The sequence below is a fragment of the Homo sapiens genome, chromosome 10 (assembly GCF_000001405.40).
Source record: "Homo sapiens chromosome 10, GRCh38.p14 Primary Assembly".
Lineage (NCBI taxonomy): Eukaryota > Metazoa > Chordata > Mammalia > Primates > Hominidae > Homo > Homo sapiens.
Genome location: NC_000010.11, coordinates 74308538 through 74332044, shown reverse-complemented (window position 1 = coordinate 74332044; position 23507 = coordinate 74308538). Strand labels below are relative to the sequence as shown.

Below are 23507 nucleotides of genomic sequence, written 5' to 3'. Positions count from 1 at the left end.
CTCTACAAAAAATACAAAAAAAAATTTGTTGGGCATGGTGGCAGAAGCCTGTAATCCCAGCTACTCAGGAGACTGAAGCAGGAGGATTCCTTGAACCCAGAAGGCAGAGTTTGCAGTGAGCCAAGATCGCAAACACTGAGCTTCAGCCTGGGTGACAAAGCGTGACTTTGTCTCAAAAATAAATAAATAAAGTAAAATTTAAGAAATATGATCCAGCTAACTACAGCAAATGATATGAAGTTAAAGAAATATAAATGTTGGCTGGGTGCAGTGGCTCACGCCTATAATCCCTGCACTTTGGGAGGCCAAGGCAGGTGGATCACCTGAAGTCAGGAGTTTGAGACCAACCTTGCCAACATGATGAAATCCCGTCTCTATTAAAAATACAAAGAATTAGCTGGGTGTGGTGGCAGGCGCCTGTAATACCAGCTACTTGGGAGGCCTGAAGCAGGAGAATCACTTGAACCCAGGAGGCGGAAGTTGCAGTGAGCTGAGATCGTGCCACTGCACTCCAGCCTGGGTAAAAAGGCAAAACTCCGTCTAAAAAAATAAATAAATAAATAGAAATGTAGACTAATGTTTACTAGTATTGCCACTGATTCTATTTTATTATTCTTCTGGAAAACATGATTAAATTATTCTGGCCTTGCTATTTCAATTGAAGTAAAATAACTTGCATAATCTTCATTATTTCTATTAATCATAAATCACTCTATTTTACTTAAGAATATCGTGTTTGTGAGAAAAAAAAATCAAAACAGGTTTTCAAAACCAGAAAATTATTCAAAACTTTCAAAACACATTGTGGTATATAAAATTAAATTTTAGGCATTTCCTTCCATCTGTAAGAAGCAAAACACAGCCATAGTAGTTTATTATCTAGTTTTATACCAGTATACTGGTTACAATACGGGTGTAAAATATTAGCTGCATAATTTTTGGCATAAATTATTCTTATAGCTCAAAACGATTATGTATAAAAGAAATGAAAACAAAAAAGAAAAAAGTTCAAATAGAAACAGGAAATATAAATTGGGGTGGGAAAGTACAGGGACTACAGAAAAGAGGGATTAAAAACAATGTCTGAAAGTTATTTTATTATTTTAATAGTCATTGTTGCTTCAAAACATGGTGGCTATAAATAAGAAATACTATCTCACATAGTTTTGGTGGGTCAGGAATTTGGGAGCAGCTTAGTGGAACAGTTCTCTCTTGGGGTGTCTCATCAGGTTGTAGTCGGTTAAGTAAGGCAGGGCTCCAGTAATCTGGTGATTTGACTGGAGCTGGCTGCACTCACAAGGCCAACATATTGGTGCTGGTTGCCGCTGGAAGGCTTATGTTCCTGCCCATGTGGGTGTCTTCAAAGGCTGACTGCGTATCCTCAAGAACATAGCAGTTGAATTCCCCATTATGGGTGTCCCAAGAAAAAATAATATGGAAGTAATGATGCCTTTAATGATCTAGCCTCAGAAATAGCACACCATCATTACATACATTCTACTTATTAGAAACAAGTCGCTAAGTCTGGGCCATATTCAAGAGAAGGGAAATTAGGTTCTACCTTTTCAATGGAGAAGTATTAAAGAACTTGTGAACATGCTTTAAAAAAAAATTTTTTTTAAGAGACAGGATGCCACTGTGTTTCCCAGGATAGAGTAAAATGGCTATTCACAGGAGCAATCATAGCATACTGCAACCTCAAACTCCTGGCCTCAAGTGATCTTCCCATCTCAACCTCCTGAGTAGCAGGGACTACAGGTATGCACCACCACACCTGGCTTTCTTCTCATTTTTCATATTGGAGTAGGTGACAACTGTAACATAAAGCAAAAACCCACATTAGATAATAAATATTTAAAAAATTATTATTTGGTTTTGAGACAGGGTCTAGCTCTGTTGCCTAGGCTGGAATGCAGTGGCAGAATCATGGCTCACTACAGCTTCAACCTCCCAGGCTCAAGCAATTCTTGCACCTCAGCTTCCTGACTAGCTGGGATGACAGGCATGTACCACCGTGCCTGGCTAATTTTTTTTTTTTTATTATTTGTAGAGACAGGGTTTTGTCATGTTGCCCAGGCTGGTCTTGAACTCCTGAGCTCAACTGATCCTCTGGCCTTGGCTTCTCAAAGTGCTGGGATTATAAGCGTGAGCCATCACATCTGGCCTATTATTCTTAAAAGAACAAAAAATTTATCTGATCTATTTAATGATACATATAATTGTTCATACATACATAAATCATATGCCATCTTCATAAAGTCATTAGTACTGCTTTTATAAAATTAAATCTAAGTTTTTCTCTTATTTTGACAGAGCTCTAATTTCTAAAATGCTCATAAATTTTCAGTTTTCTGCTACATGTATTAAAATACATGCCACCTGCAACCTACCAGCTACTCGTTCTAAAACCATAGTTTCCCAGTGGTCACCTAACATCCATCCATCCAACCAATCTTCTTCCTTATTTGAAAACTCCACTGCATAACTGCTAATTTTTATGTAGAGATTTTTAAATGAAAATTCTGGTTAATAGATAGGTGGGCAACAGTAACTACCAAGTGAAGTCTATAAGCCAAGGTGTATGGACCTCTACATAGTGGGTTGTAAATGCTTGATATGGAAAGAATTAAATAAGGAGAAAAGAATGAGACAGAGTTTGGTGACAGTCCCAAGTTCATACTTGCCCAGCTTGGCTTAATTCTACTGCACATCCTTCTTGCCCCAAATCACTGTGGTATGTTACAATCTAGACTATTTGGTTTTTTACTTTGTTATCCCAAGAATCTCAGCAGCAAAAGTACCAAAGAACACAAATACTCTAAAAACATTATTCTTTAAAAAATATGGCAGAGTGATGCTTGCAAAATGGAAGGGTAGGAATTGTTGTCTGGTTCTCCACACCCTATAGAATTTCTTTTTTTTTTTTTTTTTTTTTTTTGCCTGCACAGAAGATTAGATTTTATTTTATTTTTATTTTATTTTATTATTATTATACTTTAAGTTCTAGGGTACATGTACACAATGTGCAGGTTAGTTACATATGTATACATGTGCCATGCTGGTGTGCTGCACCCATTAACTTGTCACAATTAGTATCTTCTCAGTGGCAAGACGACTACCCTGGATCTCTTGGAACTCAGGATGGTGTCTCATTGTACCACAGAGCTGAGAAAAATCTGAGAACAGTGTATTAGTCCATTTTCACGCTGCTATAAAGAAATATCCAAGACTGAGTAATTTATAAAGAAAAGAGGTTTAACTGACTCACAGTTCTGTATGACTGGGGAGGCCTTGGAAAACTTACAATCACGCTGGAACGCAAAGGGGAAGTAAAGACCTTCTTCACATGGTGGCAGGAGAAAAAGACAGAGAGTGAAGGAGGAACTGCCAAACACTTATAAAACCATCAGATTTGTAAGAACTTACTCACTATCATGAGAACAGCATGGGGGAAACCACCCCCATGATCCAATCACCTCCCACCAGATCCCTCCCTCAACATGTGGGGATTATGGGGATTACAACTAGAGATGAGGTTTGGGTGGGGACACAGAGCCAAACCATATCAGACAGTAAGGGAAATGGTGCTTTGACTGCAACACCCTTCCCCTAAGCCCACATATGCAGAAGTCCCCTGGATGCAAGTTTTCTATGGTGGAAAAAATGAGTGGGAAGTGGCTATTCGGCCTATTGTAAGCATAGTATGTAAACCTCTTATATCTTTAATATGAAGATTAAAGATAAAACTATTAAAAATAATTATAACTACAACAATTGATAGTGGGATATGCAGTTTTAAAAGTTGTAAGTTGTAACATCAAAAATTCAAAATATGTGGCTGGACAAGTTGGCTCATGCTTATAATCCCAGCACTTCGGGAGGCCGAGGCAGGCAGATCACTTGAGGTCAGGAGTTCAAGACCAGCCTGGGCAACATGGTGAAACCCCGTCTCTACTAAAAATACAAAAATTGCCTGAGCAAGGTGGTGCACACCTGTAATCCCAGCTACTTGGGTGGCTGAGGCATGAGAATCGCTTGAACCCGGGAGGTGGAGGTTGCAGTGAGCTGAGATCATACCACTGCACTCCAGCCTGGGTGACAGAGTGAGACTGTATCTCAGAAAAAAATTCAAAATGTGAGAGAAAAAGAGGAGTTAAAGTACACAGTGTTTATTAAACATTTTTAGCAATCAAAGTTAAGTTGTTACTAGATTAAAATAACCTGATATAAGCAAATATCAATAAATCTAAAGGGAAAGATAGAGTACAAAACAATCATAGTAGACAACTTTTTTTTTTAACTTTTATTTTAGGTTCAGCGGTACATGTGCAGGTTTGTTACATGTACAGGTTGTGTCATGGGGGTTTGTTGTACAGATTATTTCATCACCCAGATACTAAGCTGAGTATGTAATATTTATTTTTTCTGATCCTCTACCTAGTAGGAAACTTCAGCACCCCACTTAAGCAACAGAAACATTATCCAGACAGAAAACCAAAAAAGAAACATTAGGTTTAAACTGCACTCTTGACCAAATAGGCCTAACAGACATTTACAGAACATTCTATCCAGCGGCTGAAGATTACACATTCTTCTCAATTGAACATGAAACATGCTTCAGGATAGAGTACATATTAAGCCACAACATAAGTCTTAACAAGTTTCAGTTCAAAATCATAGATTATATTTTCCGATCACAATGGCATAAACTAGAAGTCAATAATAAGAGGAAAATCAAAAACTCTACAAATACATGGAAATTAAACAACATGGTCAATGAAAAAATTAAAGAGAAACAAAAAGATTTTTTGAAACAATGCCAATGGAAAAAAAGCATAACCTATCAGATACAGCAAAAGCAGGTCTAAAAGTGATGTTTATAGTAATTAACACATAAATCCCCAAAGAGGAAAGATATAAACCTAATGTTGCGCCTCAAGGGACTAGAAAAACAAGAACAAGCCAAACTCCAAATTAGCAGAAAAAAATAAATAATAAAGAGAAGAAATAAATGAAATAGAGACCTAAAAAACATACAAAAGATAAATACAACAAAGAATTAGGTTTTTGAAAAGATAGCCAAAAGCAACAAACCTTTAGCTAGACTAAGAAAAAAAGGAGAAGACACAAATAATAAAGTGAGAAACAAAAAAGGAGACACTACAATTGATCCCAGAGAAATATAAAGAATTATAAGAGACTCTCATTAACAATTATACACCAACAAACTAGAAAACCTAGAAGAAATAAGTTTCTGAATATATATAATCTACCAAAATTTAATTACGAAGATATAGAAAATTAGAACAGACCAATAAGTAAAGAGATTAAATCAGTGATAAAAAGTCTCCCATCAAAGAAAAAAGAAAAAATGCCTAGGACCTGATGGCTTCACTGCTGTATTTTACCAAAATTTTTGTTCTGTTTTTTTAAAGAGACAGGGTCTTGCTCTGTTGCCCAGGCTGGAGTACAGTGGCATGATCATAGTTCACTGCAGCCTCCACCTCCTAAGCTCAAGCAATCCTCCTGCCTCAGCCTCCCAAGAGGCCTCCCAAGTAGCTCAGACTACAGGTGTGTACCACCACACCAAGCTAATTTTTTTTTTTTTTTTTTGTAGAAACAAGGTCTCACTATGTTGTCCAGGTTGACCTCAAATTCCTGGCCTCTTGAAGTTCTGCCTCAGCCTCCCAAAGTGCTGGGGTACTGGCGTAAGCCAACACACCCTACCAAATATTCAAAGCGAAACTAATACGAATTCTTCTCAAATTATTTTTAAAAAATAAAGAGGAAAGAATTCTTCTAAACTCATTCTACAAAATCAGCATTACCCTGATACCAAAACCTAACAAGGACACAACAAAAATAAGAAAACTATAGGCCAATGTCTCCGATGAACATAGAAGAAAAATCCTGAACAAAATACCAGCAAACCAAATTCAATAGCACATTAATTTTGGGAGGCCAAGTAAATAACTTGAAGTCAGGAGTTCAAGACCACCCTGGCCAACATGGTGAAACCCCTCTCTACTAAAAATACAAAAATTAGCCAGGCATGGTGGTTGGTGCCTGTAATCCCAGCTACTAGGGAGGCTGAGGCGGAAGAATCACTTGAATCCAGGAGGTAGAGCACCTCTGCACCTCAGCCTGGGTGACAGAGAGAGACTCTGTCTTAAAAAAGAAAAAAAAAAGCCAGCACATTAACAAGATAATTCACCAGGATCAAGTGGATTCATCCCATGGATATATGAATGGTTCAACATACACAAATCAATAACTGTGATATATCACATTAAATGCAGGAAAAAACCATATTTCAATAGATGCAGAAAATGCATTTGACAAAATTCAACATTCTTTCATGTTAGAAATTATCAACAAATTGGGTATAGAAGGAATGCAGCTCAGCACAATAAAGGCCATATATGAAAAATCCAAAGCTATTATTCTGAATGGGGAAAAATTGAAAGCTTTTCCTCTGAAATCTGGAACAAGACAAGGATGTATACTTTCACCATTTCTATTCATCATAGTCTAGAAGACCCAGCCAGAACAATTAGGCAAGAGAAAGAAATAAAAGGCATACAAATTGGAAAGGTAGAAATTAAATTGTTCTTGTTTGAAGACAACAAGATCTCATACACAGAAAACCCTAAAGAATGTACCAAAATACTGTCAGAACTAATAATCACATTCAGTAAAGTTGTAGGACACAAAATAAACATACAAAAGCATTTCTATATATCAACCACAAACTATCTGAAAAAAACAAAAATCAAGTAAACAATTCCTCTTAAAATAGCTATAAAAATAGCTAAAATACCTAGTGATAAATTCAACCAAGGAGATAAAAGATCTCTAAGATGAAAAGTATAAAACGCTGATGAAAGAAATTAAAGAAGACACAAATAAAAGACAGCCTGCATTCATGTAATTAAAGAATATCATTAAAATGCCCATACTATCCAAAGTGATCTACAGATTCAAAGTAAACCCTCTCAAATGACAATGATAATCTTCATAGAAATAGAAAAAAAATTCTAAAATTCATATAGAACCACAAAAGATCCCAAATAGCAAAAGCAATCTTGAGCAAAAATGACAAAGACACATCATGCTATCTGACTTCAAAATATATTACAAAAGGCTATAGTACCCGAAATATTAAGGGAACCCTGTACACTGCTGATGGGAATGTAAACTAGCACAGCCATTATGGAAAACAGGTATGGAGGTTCCTTAAGAAATTAACGGTACAACATGTGATCCAGCAATCCCACTTCTGGGTACATATTCAGTGGAAATGATTAAGATATATCTGCACGTCCATATTTACTGCTTCATTATTCACAACAGCCAAGATATGTAATCAACCTAAGAGTTTATCAGGCAATGAATGAATGAATAAATAAAATGCGATATATATACACAATGGAATACTATTCATCCACAAAAAAAAGGAACAAAATCTTCTCATTTGTGATAACATGGAGGAACCTGGAGAATAACTTGTTAACAGAAATAATCCAGGTACAAAAAGACAAATGCTACATAATCTCAACTCATATGTGAACTATAACAAAGCTGATCTCATAGAAGGAGAAAGTAAAATGGTGTTTATCAGAGGCTTGGGTAATTAGAGGGGTAGAAGGATGGAGAGATGTTGGTCAAAGAATCTACAATCACATACATGAATAAGTTTTTGACAATTGGTGAAAGGCTGTGCACAGTGGCTCACAACTGTAATCCCAGCACTTTGGGAGGCAGAGGCAGGAGGGTTGCTTGAGGTCAGGAATTCAACATCAGCCTGTGCAACAAAGCAAGATTCCATTTCCACAGAAAATTTAAAAGTTAAAAATTAGCTGAGCATGGTGGCACATACCTATAGACCCAGCTACTCGGGAGGCAGAGGTGGGAGGATCACTTGTGCCTAGGAGTTGGAAGCTGCAGTGAGCCATGATTGTGCCACTGCACTCCAGCCTCGAAGACAGAGCAAGATGCCATCTCCAAAAATAAAAATAATTGTCTAGAATAGGCAAACCTATAGAAACAAAACTGGATAAGTGACTGTCTGGGGCCAAGGGGTTGAATGGACAGAAGATGAGGGGGTGAGAGAGAAATGGGGAATGACTACTAATGGTTATAGAGTTTCTTCATTTGATAATGAAAATATTGTGGGGCCGGGAGCGGTGGCTCACACCTGTAATCCCAGCACTTTGGGAGGCCAAGGCGGGCGGATCACAAGGTCAGGAGATAGAGACCATCCTGGCTAACACGGTGAAACCTCGTCTCTACTAAAAATGCAAAAAATTAGCCGGGTGCAGTGGCGGGTGCCTGTAGTCCCAGCTACTCGGGAGGCTGAGGCAGGAGAATGGTGTGACCCCGGGAGGTGGAGATTACAGTGAGCCAAGATCGCGCCACTGCACTCCAGCCTGGACGACAGTGCGAGACTCCATCTCAAAAAAAAAAAAAAGAAAAGAAAAGAAAATATTGTGAAACTGACTGTGGTGATGGTTGCACAGCTAGCTAGATCTGTGAACACACTAAAAGCCACAAGATTATACATTTTAAACAGGTGAATTGTACGTGAACTATATTCCAATAAAGTTGCTTAAAGAAGAAGGAAATGTGTATTAATTCGAACGTAAGTCAGAAAATCAATACAATTAAATATTTTCTTTGCTTTCAAGAACAATGACAGCTGACAGTACCACTGTATCATTTAAATGGCAAAGACCATCCTTGTCAACCAATTAACAAATGAGACTCTTTCAGAAAAGTCTGAGTTCAATTTTCATTTCAAATAAGTGAATATACCATCCATAGGACCAAAAAAAAATGTTTCTGAATTCCAATTCCAAAATAGAATAAAAAGGAATAGAGTTTTATCCCCTTGATGAAATTAGGTCCCACTGCTTGTAGTATTTCTTGATGAAGCTTTGTTTTGCTTTTAGACAGAAAAATACAATTTCAAATTGTACCCATGTTTAATGTCATACCCAGAAACACTGCATGACATTAAGGCCCACAAGAGTAGAGATATGTCATTCTTTTATGAAGTGGATAACTGTGATATGTGTAGATTTATCCTGGAGAGCACAACCATAACTGCTAAGACAGAACTAAAAGCATGTTATCACTAATAGCAGTAAAACAATTTCTTAACATAATGCATAAAACAAAGTAGGAAGAAAGGAAGAAGAGGGGAGGGAAGAGGAAGGGTAGGAGGAGAAGGGAAAGAGATGTGAGGAAGGGAGGAGGAGGAGAAAGAAGGGAAGGGGAGAGGAGGGGTAAAGGGAAGAAGAGAGAGAAAGGAAAGGAGAGAGACAAGGAAAGGAGAGAGGGAGAAAAGGGAGGAAAGGAAAAAATGAAATACTGATTTTTCTTTAAAGAATCTGATCTAAGTTATAATAATTTCACAAACACATCAAAAATATAATTGAGGACAGCAAGCCACTGCTTCCTTCATCTTATTTTAGCTATGAAAACTTAACAACCTAATTTGAAAAGGAAAGAGAACAGAAAGGCAAAGAGGAGTATTAATTCATATTTAAACTTTAAAAACTATAATGAGGTATCACAATTTGAACAGTCAACCTTATTCGTAGGGCCTGTGTTACTTAAAATTATTCATTAATCATAAAATTGGCAGAATTAATACTTACTACTTTCTTCAATGACACAAAGAATTGACGAGACGGTGTTGCATCACCATCTGCCACATCCTGCTATAATTATAAATACAGTTGTGCTACTGACATTTCTACAACTGCTCCAGGTGAAAGCATTTGAACACAGAATTCTCTTTGATCACTTCATTGTCATTTCTTCTTTTTAAATTTACATCTGGACTGTTCCGATGCACAGAAGTATGTCTCATAAAAAACCTTTTAACCTCTAACTAGCTTTTCTAGGTAAAATAGGTCACAAGAGATAATCAGATTTTTTTAATACAGAAAAACTTTAAAGATTAACTTTTTTCAAAAAAGGATTCAAAATAGATAAACAACATGAGTCCTTTGATTTACATCAGTTTTAACTTCTAAATACTGTAACTCAATTAGTAATGTTACACTAATTGGTAGTTCTTGAAATATCAGCTTTACAATTTTGAGTTCAATGTTTCTATTTCATTCAAACATAATTCCTAAAACTTCTTTTGTTTAGTGTTTTTAGAAACTCATTTTACATAGAATTTTGGAAAGCTTTAAAATACAATTATGAACACTAGTTTATTATGTGATGTTTTACATCAAGAAAACACTTAAAAGCATGCCCCGAGATGTATACAACATAAACACACTGGCATTTAGGCAGTCCTCTTAAATTTTAATTAAAAATGAAACAACATGGTTAAAATTTTACTGGAAGTTAAATACAAATATGGAGGCTTATCTAATTGGAAGAGACATGAAAAACTGGAAGATTGAATGTAAGTCAATAATTATAAAAGCAGATTAGAAATTATAAGACAGAAATAAGGATCTGCTAATTTGAGAAGAGACCAAGCTAATGTCTTGAGGATCATTTGAGCCCAGGAGTTCAAGACCAGCCCGGTTAATATGGCAAAACCCAATCTCTACAAAAAAGTTAAAAATAAGGTGGGTGTGGTGGTGTGCACCTATAGTCCCAACTACTCAGGAGGCTGAGGCAGGAGAATTCCTTGAGCCCAGGAGGTCAAGGATGCAGTGAGCTGTGATCGCACCACTGCACTCCAGCCTGGGTGACAGAGCAAGACTCTGCCTCAAATTAAAAAAAGAAAAAAAAATCCATATAGCCTCAATGTTATAATAATTACAGGAAAAAAAATGATTCAAATGATTACCTGCTTATATTCCAGTTAACAAAGGATAAGATGGTATTTAAAATTTTTGAGATGCCTAGAATATACCCCAAGATGGCATTTTTAAAATAAATTTAAAAATACTATAGGTAAGTTAAATTGCAGGAAGCTTAAAAACAAGCGAACTTACAACTTAAATAGAAATACCTCACGAAGCTCACCATCAGGCTTCTGAAAAATTCAATGAGTCACATAATACTATGAATCTCCAAGGAACAAAAAGGTATCTAGGCACCAAGGAAAACTGTCATCTCTGGGAAGCATGAATGAAAGAGTCCATTTACTGATAACTGTATTTAAAGTGATGCATATTCGACACTCTCTCTGACAACCTACAATTACTCCCAAATTGAAGAAGACAGTAAGAAGTGAAGAAAGCATGTGAAACACTACTCAAAATCTCTAACATTTAGAGAAGTAAAAATTGAAGTTTTCTCAGGATGAGAGAAAAATCTCCGGTAAAAAAAGCAAGCTGAGGTTACTAGTTAAAACAGTGGGGTTCTATTTCTGCTTTGCTTACTCACCATGGTGTTTTTTTCTATCTTATTTAATCAGAATCCTTATCACTAAACAATCACCACAGACCAACATATTAATTATGAGAATGCCAGAAGGAAAACAAAGAGAAAATAAAAGAAAAAAATTTTTGAAGATATAATGGTCCAAAACTTCCTGACTTTCATAAAATGAATGAATCTACACATCCAAGCATGAACTTGAAGCATGAATTTAATAAGCTCTAAACATGATAAACACAAAAAGATTCACACCAAGACACATTATAGTCAAACTGCTGAAAGACAAAGACAAGGAAAGAATTTTGAAATCAGTGAGAGAAAAGCAACTGGTCACAAGTCAGGATTCTCAGTAAGAATAAGAACTAATTCTCATCAGAAACCATGTAGGCCAAAAAGCAGTGAGTTGACATATTTAACATACTAAAAGAAAAGCACCGTTAACCAAGAATTCTATATCCAACAAAACTATCCTATAATAAAGGGGCTATTTAAGACATTCCCAGATAAACACAAGCTAAGACAGTTTGTTAACAATAGACCTGCCCTACACAAAATGCTAAAGAGAGTCCTTCAGGCTGAAATGAAAGGACATTTGATAGTAACCAGAAGCCATATGAAGAAGTAAAGAACTCTGGTAAAAGTAGCTACATAGTAAATATAAATGCCACTATCACTGAACTTTTGGTTTGTAATTCCTTTTATTTTTATATGATTTAAAAGACAAATGAATAAAAGAATAGTTACAAATCTATGTTAATGGGCATGCAATATATAAAGACGTAATCAATGAGCGTAATAATATATAAGAAGAGGATGGAGATGTAAAGGAGCAGAGTGTTTGTATATTATTGAAACTACATTGGTATTATTCAAATTAGGTTGTTATGAGTTTAGAATGTTCATTGTAATTCAAATGGTAAATAATAAAAGTAACTAAAACATATACAGGAAAGAAAAGGAAGAAGGTATCAAAAAAGAACACTACCAAAAATTAACTTATTCATGTTTTATTACTTAGACACAAAAATTTAAAAACACATAGTTGTTATCGGCTGAATTATAAACACCCCTCCACAGACCCTCCTGCCACTATGCATATGTTGAAGCCCTAAACCCCAGTATCTCACAATGTGACTACATTTGAAGATAGGGTCTTTAACAAGGTAATTAAATTAATGAGGGCAGTAAGGTAGGCCTTAATCCAATCTGACTGGTGTCCTTATAAGAAGACATTAGGACACACAGAGACACTCCAGAGGTACATATGTACACAGAAACCACCACGCAAAGAGGCAGAAAGAGGGTAGCCATCTGCAGGCTAAGAAGCGAGGCCTCTGAAGGAATCAAGGTGTCAACACTTTGATCTGGGACTCCAACACTGTGAGAAAATAAATCTTTGTTGTTTAAGCCACCTAGTCTCTGAAATTGCTAAGACTGCCCTAGCAAACTAATATTGAACTTATTCAAAATCATATATTATTCTGTTGTTTATTTCTATCACACTTTTTAAAAAAATAACGTAACCACAGTTGGATTAAACATTTTACCAATATTTAATTAAAAAGAATAAAGGCATGCTTCTTTTTGCCTAAGAAATAATAAAATATTTTTACTTTTATGTTTCCTTTCTATACTTGACTAGAGCCATTAGGTCAATCCTTCTTGTATGTGTGGTAAAACGTAATACAGTCAAAGGTAAAATTCACTGTGACTTATACCTCTGATGCATCAAGCCCACATTCTTGATGTCAGTCCAGTGCAATGACATTAAGCTAAATATCCTCTCAACAAAAGCATGTAAACATAGAATACTTAGGATTTTAATTACTATCAATAATAGGTGTTTAGATATAGGAATTAGTTTATAGTTCTATAAAAATATCCATCTATCTTTTAGCTAAATGCAGGTTTTGGCATTCCAGCTCTTTATGAATCATATCCCTTGTGTTTACAGATTCATTATATAGGCTTATCAATGTTCAAAATGTCCATCACTTTAAAACACTCTGAAAGACATTGGCTATCATCCTAACTTAAATTTCTTTCTTGCAGAAATGGTTTTAAAACACCTGAATTTGAATTTCTGATGTCAAAACTGGATTCCAAGTAAGTTACAGTTTTAGTAAAGAAACTGAAAAAAAGTTTTATTTAACCTCATTGCTCTTTTCTGTGACTTTTTTACTTGAGTTCTGAAGCACTCTTAATATATAAAAATGAGCCATTTGAGCCAGGTAAAATGGTTCGCACCTGTAATCCTCGCACTTTGGGAGGCCAACACAGGAGAATCACTTGAGGCCAAAAGTTCAAGACCAATCTGAGCAACACACAGAGACCCTGTCTCTACAACAAATAAATTAGCCAGGTATGGTAGGGTGTGCCTGTAGTCCTAGGAGATGGAGGTGGAGATGGAGGAAGGAGGACCCTGTGAGCGCAGCAGTTCAAGGCTGGAGTGAGCTATGATCACACCACTACATTCCAGTCTAGGCAACAGAGCAAGAGATTCTGTCTCAAAAAAATTAATAAATAATGAACAAATAAAATTATTTGAGTATTTTTTTGGTATGTGTTTTTTCTAGCCCACTTGTGGCCTCTTCAAAAACAGAAACAGGCCAGGCACGGTGGCTCATGCCTGTAATCCCAGCACTTTGGGAAGCCGAGGCGGGTGGATCACAAGGTCAAGAGATCAAGACCATCCTGGCCAACATGGTGAAACCCCATCTCTACTAAAAATACAAAAATTAGCTGGGCTTTGTGGCATACACCTATAGTCCCAGCTACTTGGGAGGCTGAGGCAAAAGAATCACTTGAACCCGGGAGGCAGAGGTTGCAGTGAGCAGAGATCGCGCCACTGCACTCCAGCCTGGCAACAGAGTGAGACTCCGTCTTGAAACAAACAAACAAACAAAAAAACCAGAAACAGCATAAAAATATTTGTTTTACTATAATCTTCTTTTTCCATTCTCATTCTCAATGTACTGCCAAATCAGAGATGGGCATTCCTTTGGTCCCATATTTTGTTAATATTGTACTGCAGGGCATCTATGTCCAGCAACAATAATAGCCATCTTTTAGGCACATATCCAAGGAAGTCATTTTCTTCCATTTCTTTTTTTTTTTTTTTTTCCTAGAGACAGGGTCTCACTATGTTGTCCAGGCTGGTCTCAAACTACTGGACTCAAGCGATTCTCCTAACTTAGCCTCTCAAAATGCTGGGATTACAGGCATGAGTCACAATGCCAACGTTTTTCCATTTCTTTCAAGTCAAAACTCACATTAAGTGCTTCTACAAATTTTTTAAAAACTGACAAAGTAACCAAAAGTGTTCATTAAGAAAGCATCAATTATCAAACTTAAGCAAGTTATACCCCTTTTTAGCAGTGTTATATACATGCTGTGCAGGATATTGAGCAGATAAGAACTTTTCACTTTCATTAGGAAGAAGTTCAGACCAAATGAAATTTACCAAAATTTACATTTGTGCTGTGTATCAAATAAATCTAGAATTGTGTTTGGACAAGATATCAACCATACTTGTTTTTGTTGCCTATGGTTTCATTAAAATCTTCAAAAACATGATTTGACATATCAAAATACCTAAGAGCTTTGGGGACATTTTCTTGTTGACATAATTTGCCATATCACTTGATACATGAAAGTATGATTACTAGTAAGATCTGACAGAATAAGTTACCCAAAGCTTCAAATTCCTTTTATTACCTTGCTAAAGACAGGAACAAATAAACCACTACTAGAATACGTTGTTAGAATGAATGTGAAATATTGTAAAAAAAAAAGTGCAAAAGAATAAAAGTAGGCAATGACTGTTTTATTATGAGACTAATATCAGGGAGAAAGCTGAGGGAGAACTTAATTATATAATTAATAAACTTTTAGAAGGCAGAAACTGATGAAGATCCCCAAGAAAGGAGACAATTTATTAGTGAACAGCTAATAGCCTCCCGGTATTAGTTCATTTTCACACTACTGTAAAGAACTGCCTGAGACTGGGTAATTTATAAAGAAAAAAGTTTTAGTTGACTCACAGTTCAGCATGTCTGGAAAGGCCTCTGAAAACTTATAATCATGGCAGAAGGCAAAGGAGAAGAAAGGCATCTTCTTTACAAGGCAGCAAGAATGGGAAATGCCGAGCAAAGGGGTAAGAGCCCCTTATAAAGCCATCAGATCTTGTGAGAACTCACTCACTATCAGGAGAATAGCATGAAGGAAACTGCACCCATGACTCAATTACCTCCACCTGGTCTCTTCCTTGGCATGTGGGGATTATACAGATTACAATTCAAGATTAGATTTGGGTGGGGACACAAAGCCTAACCATATCACCCCCAGTTCTAGCAGGAGAAAAGACTGAAAACTGCAAAATGCAAAACGTGCCTTGATAAATTAAGGCTTAAGTAAATCATCCTTTTTTTCTCTCTTTTTTTTTTTTGAGATGGAGTCTCACTCTGTTGCCCAGGCTGGAGTGCAGTGGCATGATCTCAGCTCACTGCAACCTATACCGCCCAGGTTCAACCGATTCTCTGGCCTCAGCCTCCCAAGTAGCTGGGATTAGAGACATATGCCACCACACCTGGCTAATTTTTGTATTTTTTTAGGAGAGACGGGGTTTCACCATGTTGGCCAGGCTGATCTGGATCTCCTGACCTCAAGTGATCCGTCCACCTCGGCTTCCCAAAGTGCTGGGATTACAGGCGTGAGCCACCGTGCCTGGCCGTAAATCATCCTTTTTCTATTACTCTGGAAGTTCATAAAGTGACCACCAGGATGTTTTACCAAAAACAATACAAATCAATTGACCAATACAAAGACTCAGGCCACTTCATATTAATGACCGCCTTAAAGATTCATTTTTACAAAATATTTGAAAACTATGATTAAATCTGAGCTTGGAAGTATGTGGAATAATCATACTATATGTCTCAATCAACTAAGAGTTACTTGAAAAGAAATCATTCTGGATTTTATTTGTCAATTTTCCACTTCCCCAGTTCTTGAAGTTAATCAGAATTCAAGGGGAAAGCATTAATCAATAAAAAAGAAAAAGAAATCTAGTGTAGGCAGAACTGACACATGATTGCAATGAGCAGAATTTTGAGTTAACTTCAAACTGCAGAGGTAAGAACCAGAGGTATGTAAAACTTGTTCATATCTTTCAAAGCTGGAAGATTAAACAGATCACTAACTCTCTCAATCAAGATTAGGTTAAGCTGGTAACTCAAAGAGTATATGCCTAATGGGTTTATTCAATTACTCATTGGAAGATATGGGAATAGAGACAGATATATAGATTTATAAAAGATATACACCGGTATAGATATATAGATGCATATACATATCTACCAACATATATGTCTATACATAGATATTTAGGTATGAATATATGAATGTACATTTATGTATATAGATATCTATATATAATACAGAGCAATTTCTACTATCTTGTGGCAGAAACGTCCTTCGTAAGGGGGACATGCAGGAAATGAAGAAGCCATAAAGTTTAATTACGTTAAAAACTTTGAAAGTTACATTAAGAACTAAGGCACAGTAAAAGACACTGTAAGAGTTAATGTACACATAACAAAAAATAAATACTTTCAACTTATAAAATAAAAAGGAATACTATCTATAAAATATGAAGTTTCTACAAATCTGTAACATGAAAAATTATAAAATGATAGTGAAAGGAAACAATTTAAGAAGAAACACAAATGAACAATAAACATTAAAAGTTCAAGCTTACCAATAACCAAAGAAATACCAATTAAAATAACTTTTGATTAGATGTGCAATGACTACTAAAATCCCAATTCAAATGAACAAAACTATTCTACAGCAACACAATATAAAAGGAAACAATTATGCAAAATAGACATGGGTCTAGAATCATTTTGAATCCTTTTAACTTTTAAAATAATTAACCAACCTGAGCCACTTTAATTGAATTCTGGGTAGAGCCACCAGCATGATATTCGACTTTGAATTTTTTCACAAGTTCATCAAACCTATAAGGAAATCACAGTAGAAAAAAGTAAGTTACCTTCTGTGAGTTGCAACAAAGTAAACTTTTCTGAGCAGAAGAGTATTAAAACACAAATAGTAAAATGTTTTTATTGTTTAAGTATGTTGAATAAATGAATTGAAATATCTTATAACAAAAATACTAAATTTCCACATTTAAGAAATGTTTTCCATAAGTGTACAACTATAAGAATTTAAGAATTTAAAACAGACTGTCCATAATTGGCCATTAAACTAAACAGAAAGTAAAAGTAATAATTAATAGATTGCCAAATGGAGGTCACGTGGCAAACTGGTTAAGTCAAAATCAGAATCCCAGTCTCAGAATCACTTGTTACTACAAACATACAGAAATCAGCATGTATTTCTCCTCATTCCAGACAACTAACAGAGTTTTCTATAGAAACTAAACAAAATTTCACTTAATGTTACCCTTGGAATCAGTTCAAGAAGTATGAAAATTATAAGACCTTACACTTCAAAAGAGATGAAGTATATGTTCATTTCCTCTTCCACATCTTACTAAACGTCAAAAAATATGTTTTATGTATAAAAATAAACAAAAGTATAACAGTACTGCCTGTAAAGCAAGGAAAGAAAGATGCCACAAACAGACCTATCTAATTATATGAAAAGATGCAGCTAGAGAATGACACAGTTTCTGTACACTAACAATTATTGAAAAATTTTTGAAAAATCAATAGTTGGATGGATTACCTGAGCAATCAAAATATGCATGGGTAAAAACTAAGATAAAAATAGAAAAGTTGAAATTTTTAAAAAGACCAAAAAAGTAGATAGAAAATATAAGAAATTAAAAATATGAAATAAAAATTAAAAGGTGTAGAGAATTTATTAGGTGGTCTGAGATCTGTTTAACAGGAAATACAGAAAGGGAAAATAGAGATTATGAAGAGTAAGAGAGAAATGTTGGAAAAAAAAAAGGTGAAACATAAATATGGTCAGATTTTTCCAAACATCAAGCAGTTTTACAAGGGATTAGGGACTAGGACCCCATACTTGGACACATCTTGTTTAATCTCTCATATTAAGATAAAACCTTTAAAGCATATAATGTGAAAAATAATAATTACCTTAAAAGGAATAAAAATCAGACTAATACTTAACTTCTCAAAGAATACCGGATGCTAAAAATATAATGGAGTAATGTATTCTATGCTGAGAAGGGAGGAAATTTTTGAAACTAGAAATTTTCAATATGTACTCAAATTATCAGGTTAATAAGGCAAAGTAATATTTAATAATCCTTTTTCCTATGTGGAAAAAATTACTAAGGAGATGTTCCAACCTCTCCCCCCCAAAAAAAACAGAAGAAAGATGGAATTAGGTTAAAAGAAAAGTAAAGTGGTGTATGACTTTGAAAAAGAAAGCCATAAAAAAGTTAAAAGTGCCCATCATACACTATTGCATGCAAAATTCTCCCTTTCATGGAGAAGACTCCATAAATATCTCAAATGTTAAAAATCAAGTTTTTAAAAAGGTTTTAAATATATTGTTGAAGTCATAAAGTCAATCAATAAAAAATCAAACTAAAGCAAATATAAGGAAGAATAAAAAGGCAAAACAGTGTAAGTGCACTACATTCTTCATCTTCCAGTATAGAGTTTACAGACATTGTATAAGTTTGTTAATTAAAAATAAGCACAAATTCATTATTTAGACTTATAATGGTAAGCTAAAAACATTAACTTTTTTTTTTTTTTTTTTTTTTTTTTGGAGACAGAATCTTCCTTTTTCATCCAGGCTGGAGTGCAGTGGTGCAAACATAGCTCAATGCAGCCTCCACCTCCTGGGCTCAAGGGATCCTCCCGCCTCAGTCTCCTAAATAGCTGGGAATACAGGCATGCACCACCACACTTGGCTAATTTTTTTTGTATTTTTTTTTTTTTTAGAGACAGGCTTCACCATGTTGCCCAGCAGATCTCGAACTCCTGAGCTCAGGCGATCCTCCCACCTCAGCCTCCCAAAGTGCTAGGATTACAGGTGCAAGCCATGGAGCCAGGCCCCTGAAAACATTAACTGTTAACAGTATTTGCATCTCTATGGAGTTAATATAAAAGGATTTTTTTAACTGGTGTTTATAGTTTACTTTTGTTTTTTATAAATTTCTCTAGGATAAGTAAAATAAATGTGCAATTTTTAAAAAATGAATGTCTTGGTGCTATAAATTCTTAGAAACTTTCTGTTCTAAAAAAAAAAAAAAAGTGAATGTCTGTGTAACCACTACCCAGGTTAAGAAAAAACACACTGGACTGACTTAGAAACCCCAGTATCTTATAACTATCTCTCATATATAATATATATACACACATATATATACATACACACACACACACTCTATCTACAAGTGTCCTTACCCTGTTGTTCTTCATGAGTGCTTTGGCCGTTCTTGGTTTTTTGCACTCCATATAAATTTACAACTAGTTGTCAAACTCCAAAAACCAACTTGTTAGGATTCTTTTTTTGAGACAGAATCTCGCTCTGTTGCCAGGCTGGAGTGCACTGGCGCGATCTCGGCTCACTGCAGCCTCTGACTCCCTGGTTCAAGTGATTCTCCTGCCTCAGCCTCCCAAGTAGCTGGGACTACAGGCGCATCCCACCATGCCCAGCTAATTTTTCTATTTTTAGTAGAGATGGGGTTTCACCATGTTGGCCAGGATGGTCTCCATCTCTTGACCTCGTGATCTGCCTGCCTCGGACTCCCAAAGTGCTGGTATTACAGGTGTGAGCCACCATGCCCAGCCCAACTTGTTAGGATTTTAACAGTGATTGCACTACTTATCTATATCTATGCTGGGAAAAGTGATATATTTCCAATATTAAATCATCTAATCCATGATTACAGTATCTCTCAAAGTTTCATAATGTTTGCCACAAAGCCTCCACATCTTTTATTCTGATCACTACTTCATACTTCCTATGTTTTAATACTATTATGATATTGTTTAATCTTTATTTGTGGCTGATATTTAGAAACATTCTTTATATCAATTTTTTCCAGCCAAGTTTCTAATATTTAATTAACTCCAATGATTTATGTGTTTTTAATAAATTAAACATAATTATCATTTGTGAATAAGGACAATTTTTTTCTTCCCCTTTCTTGTGTTAGTACAGAGCCTACAAGCTCTAGCATAATATAAAGAAAGAATAAATAATAGTAGGTGGAAATGGGCAAATTTAGCCTTGTTCTGAATTTTGGCCTGAGAAATCCTGAAGAATAGCAGAATTAGTCAATTTCCCAAAATTAGAAGTCTTCAAATAAGCGTTTAATTTTCCACCTTGATGTAGTTTTACTATGTGTATGTGTTGCTTCTACTTAAGTGTTAAACATTTTTAAATGTTACAGATTTAAAATAGATTTACATCTATTGATAGGTATTTTCCATGTTATTTCAAATGAGAAGTGCTAATTTATGAAAACTGATGCACAATGTAATCTTTTTGTGTAAACAAAATTACCCAATATACATGTCTACTGAAAAGAACCTGGAAGAATACAACCAAGGTATTAACAGTAGTTATCGCCAAATTAGGAACAATTATGGCTCTTTTATACATCTGTTTAGATTGTGCAATAAGCATATAAACTGTTTTGTAATGAAAAATCAACTTCATTTTATAATAAAAGAACATAGCAATTTTCCATACAATTATTTTTAAAGAACCATATATAGAACAAAGCTGAATAAAAAACAAGAGCAAAGAAAGAAGTGATTCTGAATGAAAAAGGCAGGGAAAGTTTAACATCTGAATTGAAATTTGACACTTAAGGGAGAAAAAAAAAATTCAGGGTTGAGGCTAAAACAATAAACATGACGTATTCAGAAAAACCAGTTAAACACAGACTAAAATGCAGGTCAAAATCAAAGTAGTAAAAACTGACAAAGAAAAGGTAACTATCAGGCTAATAAGTGTAGACATTATTCTGAAGGCTACTAGAAATTATTAAACTCTATTTAGCAACAGTGTGAAAAGCAGACTTTTTAAAAATGATGATAACACTGGACAGAGTAAAGAGAAGCAGACCACCTGCCTTTAGAATAGCTCATACGAAAGACAGGATAGAGAGACGAGACCAAAGTAAGGAATCATTCCGAAGTTGAAGACACAGGATGTGATAAAGAAATGTAAGATGTGGAAGAGGGATGAAAATTCTGAGGTTGCTAGTTTGGATAACCAGTTGGATGGTGTTAGAAAAGAAATACAGGAGAGAAGAAAACTCATAAGAAGGAAAAGGAACTCCTAAGTAGCCAACTAACAAACCAAGAAATATTTATCTTTAGGGAACTGATTGTGCTGTGGCAAGACTAACAGGTGTTTAAGGATGAAAGAGTTTATGATATTATTACATTTTACGGGAAACTTCTATATATTTTCCTTACATGACTTTTTCCATAGGAAATAAAGTATGGGAATTTTAGTAATTTATAGATTCCTTCTTACTTTCTCCTTTTGGTTGACATTCTTTGTCTGAACGGGGTGGCCATATAAACACCTCAATCAAAAGCCTGACAGAATTGGAAGGACAGTACCTGATCCATTTTTCCACCACAAGCCTACTATATTAATTATCATTGGAAGAAATTTAATAAACTTTGTAATATTATAATTATTTATGTTACATTATTACAGGAAAAAATTACAACAAAGATGAATATAGTAATATTAAACAAATGTACAAAAATGGCATTAAAAATAACAGAAGCAAATTAAGATAAAGTTGAAAGAACACAAAATATAAGACATAAACACTTATAGTTTATGAAAGCTGAAATATAATACGGGATGTCCTTATACTAACTGTTCAACAAAATGATCAATAAATTCATTCAATATAATTATTTTGTCTTTAAAAATTAATTTACTGTCCTCCCACCTGTCTAAAACACAGGTCTAGGACCTCTGTTGGACTTTTTCTTTTCAAGAGTGATGGTGTTTGTTACTGATCTACACTTCATACACCCCTCTCCCTTTTTTCAGTCTCTTAAACCTCCCTGCTACCTCTGCTCTCCAAATGTACAGACAAAGCAGCAGAATCAATATTGGAATATGATGTTTATAACTCTGCTTATAAGAGATTTGAATTCTTACTATGTTCTGTCTCCTAGCAATTCTGAAGGTACAGCTTATTTGTGACTTTAATTGTATCTGTTGTTTTGAGGAAGATAAGAAAATTTAGATTCATTATCCTCTAAGTCCAGTTTAAATGGCTTTTGATGGTATAAGTGGCAGCCTAAAAACTAGAAGATCAACACAGTAATCAAGGATATATTAAGATCATGTAAAATAAAAATAGAAATATGTAGAATTAAACACTTTGTGGTTGGAAACTAAATGTATTACTTTTAAATAAAAGGCAACTATTGTAAGTTATATTTAGGATGCATTTAGAAAATGTATCCTGAAAAGCTAGAAAAACAATAGAAAAAGTGAAGAGAACAATAAGGAATACAAAAGCGACAGAAGAAATTTTAAAACACAAATAGCACTGTAATTTTTAATGTGTCATTTTTCTCCTTATCTAACACGAAAAAATAAAAAAGACTTCATGATTATACCCTTCAACATAGAATCATTTATTCCTATATGAATAAAAGTACTTATAAATAAGATATAACAAGAATTATGAACAGGAAAATGTCCACAAAACCAACACTTTACAATTTCCAGTTCTACCTAAGGGCAATTGCTTTCCATTTTCAAAGAAACTAAAGCCACTAACTTATTTCAAACTCAGGGGTGGGAGGGAAGGAGAGAGAGAGAGAGCGAGTGAGCATATGAGAGTGTGTGTGCGCTCAGCATATTATCAGGAGAAGAAAGAAGACCTCACGTTGTGTTAACATCAGCACAGCATAAAAACAACATTAACAATTTTTGAACATTTATAGATTGATGTATGAAGAATAGGACATGTGATTAAAATCTTTACAGTGAAATTCCAAAAATTTAACTTCCTTAAGAAAGCATTCATAACTGCCAAGTAGAATTTCTGATGAAGTTATTCCTTAAACTTCTCATCTAAACAAATAATTAAAAACATAAGTCATTCTAAACAGGTTATACTTATTAAGATCAAATGTTAATAGAAT

General features: G+C 34.9%; 1 protein-coding gene across 13 annotated transcripts in view; it reads right to left on the bottom strand.

Annotated features, from left to right (window-relative positions):
- Nucleotides 1–23507, bottom strand: part of ADK (adenosine kinase) — a 558070-nt gene that overhangs the window by 377246 nt on the left and 157317 nt on the right. For all 13 annotated transcript variants that reach the window (NM_006721.4, NM_001369123.1, NM_001202450.2 and 10 more), the window contains one exon: nt 17300–17378. In NM_006721.4, the coding sequence (NP_006712.2) occupies nt 17300–17378 (79 nt within the window). The remainder of the gene's footprint in view (nt 1–17299; nt 17379–23507) is intronic.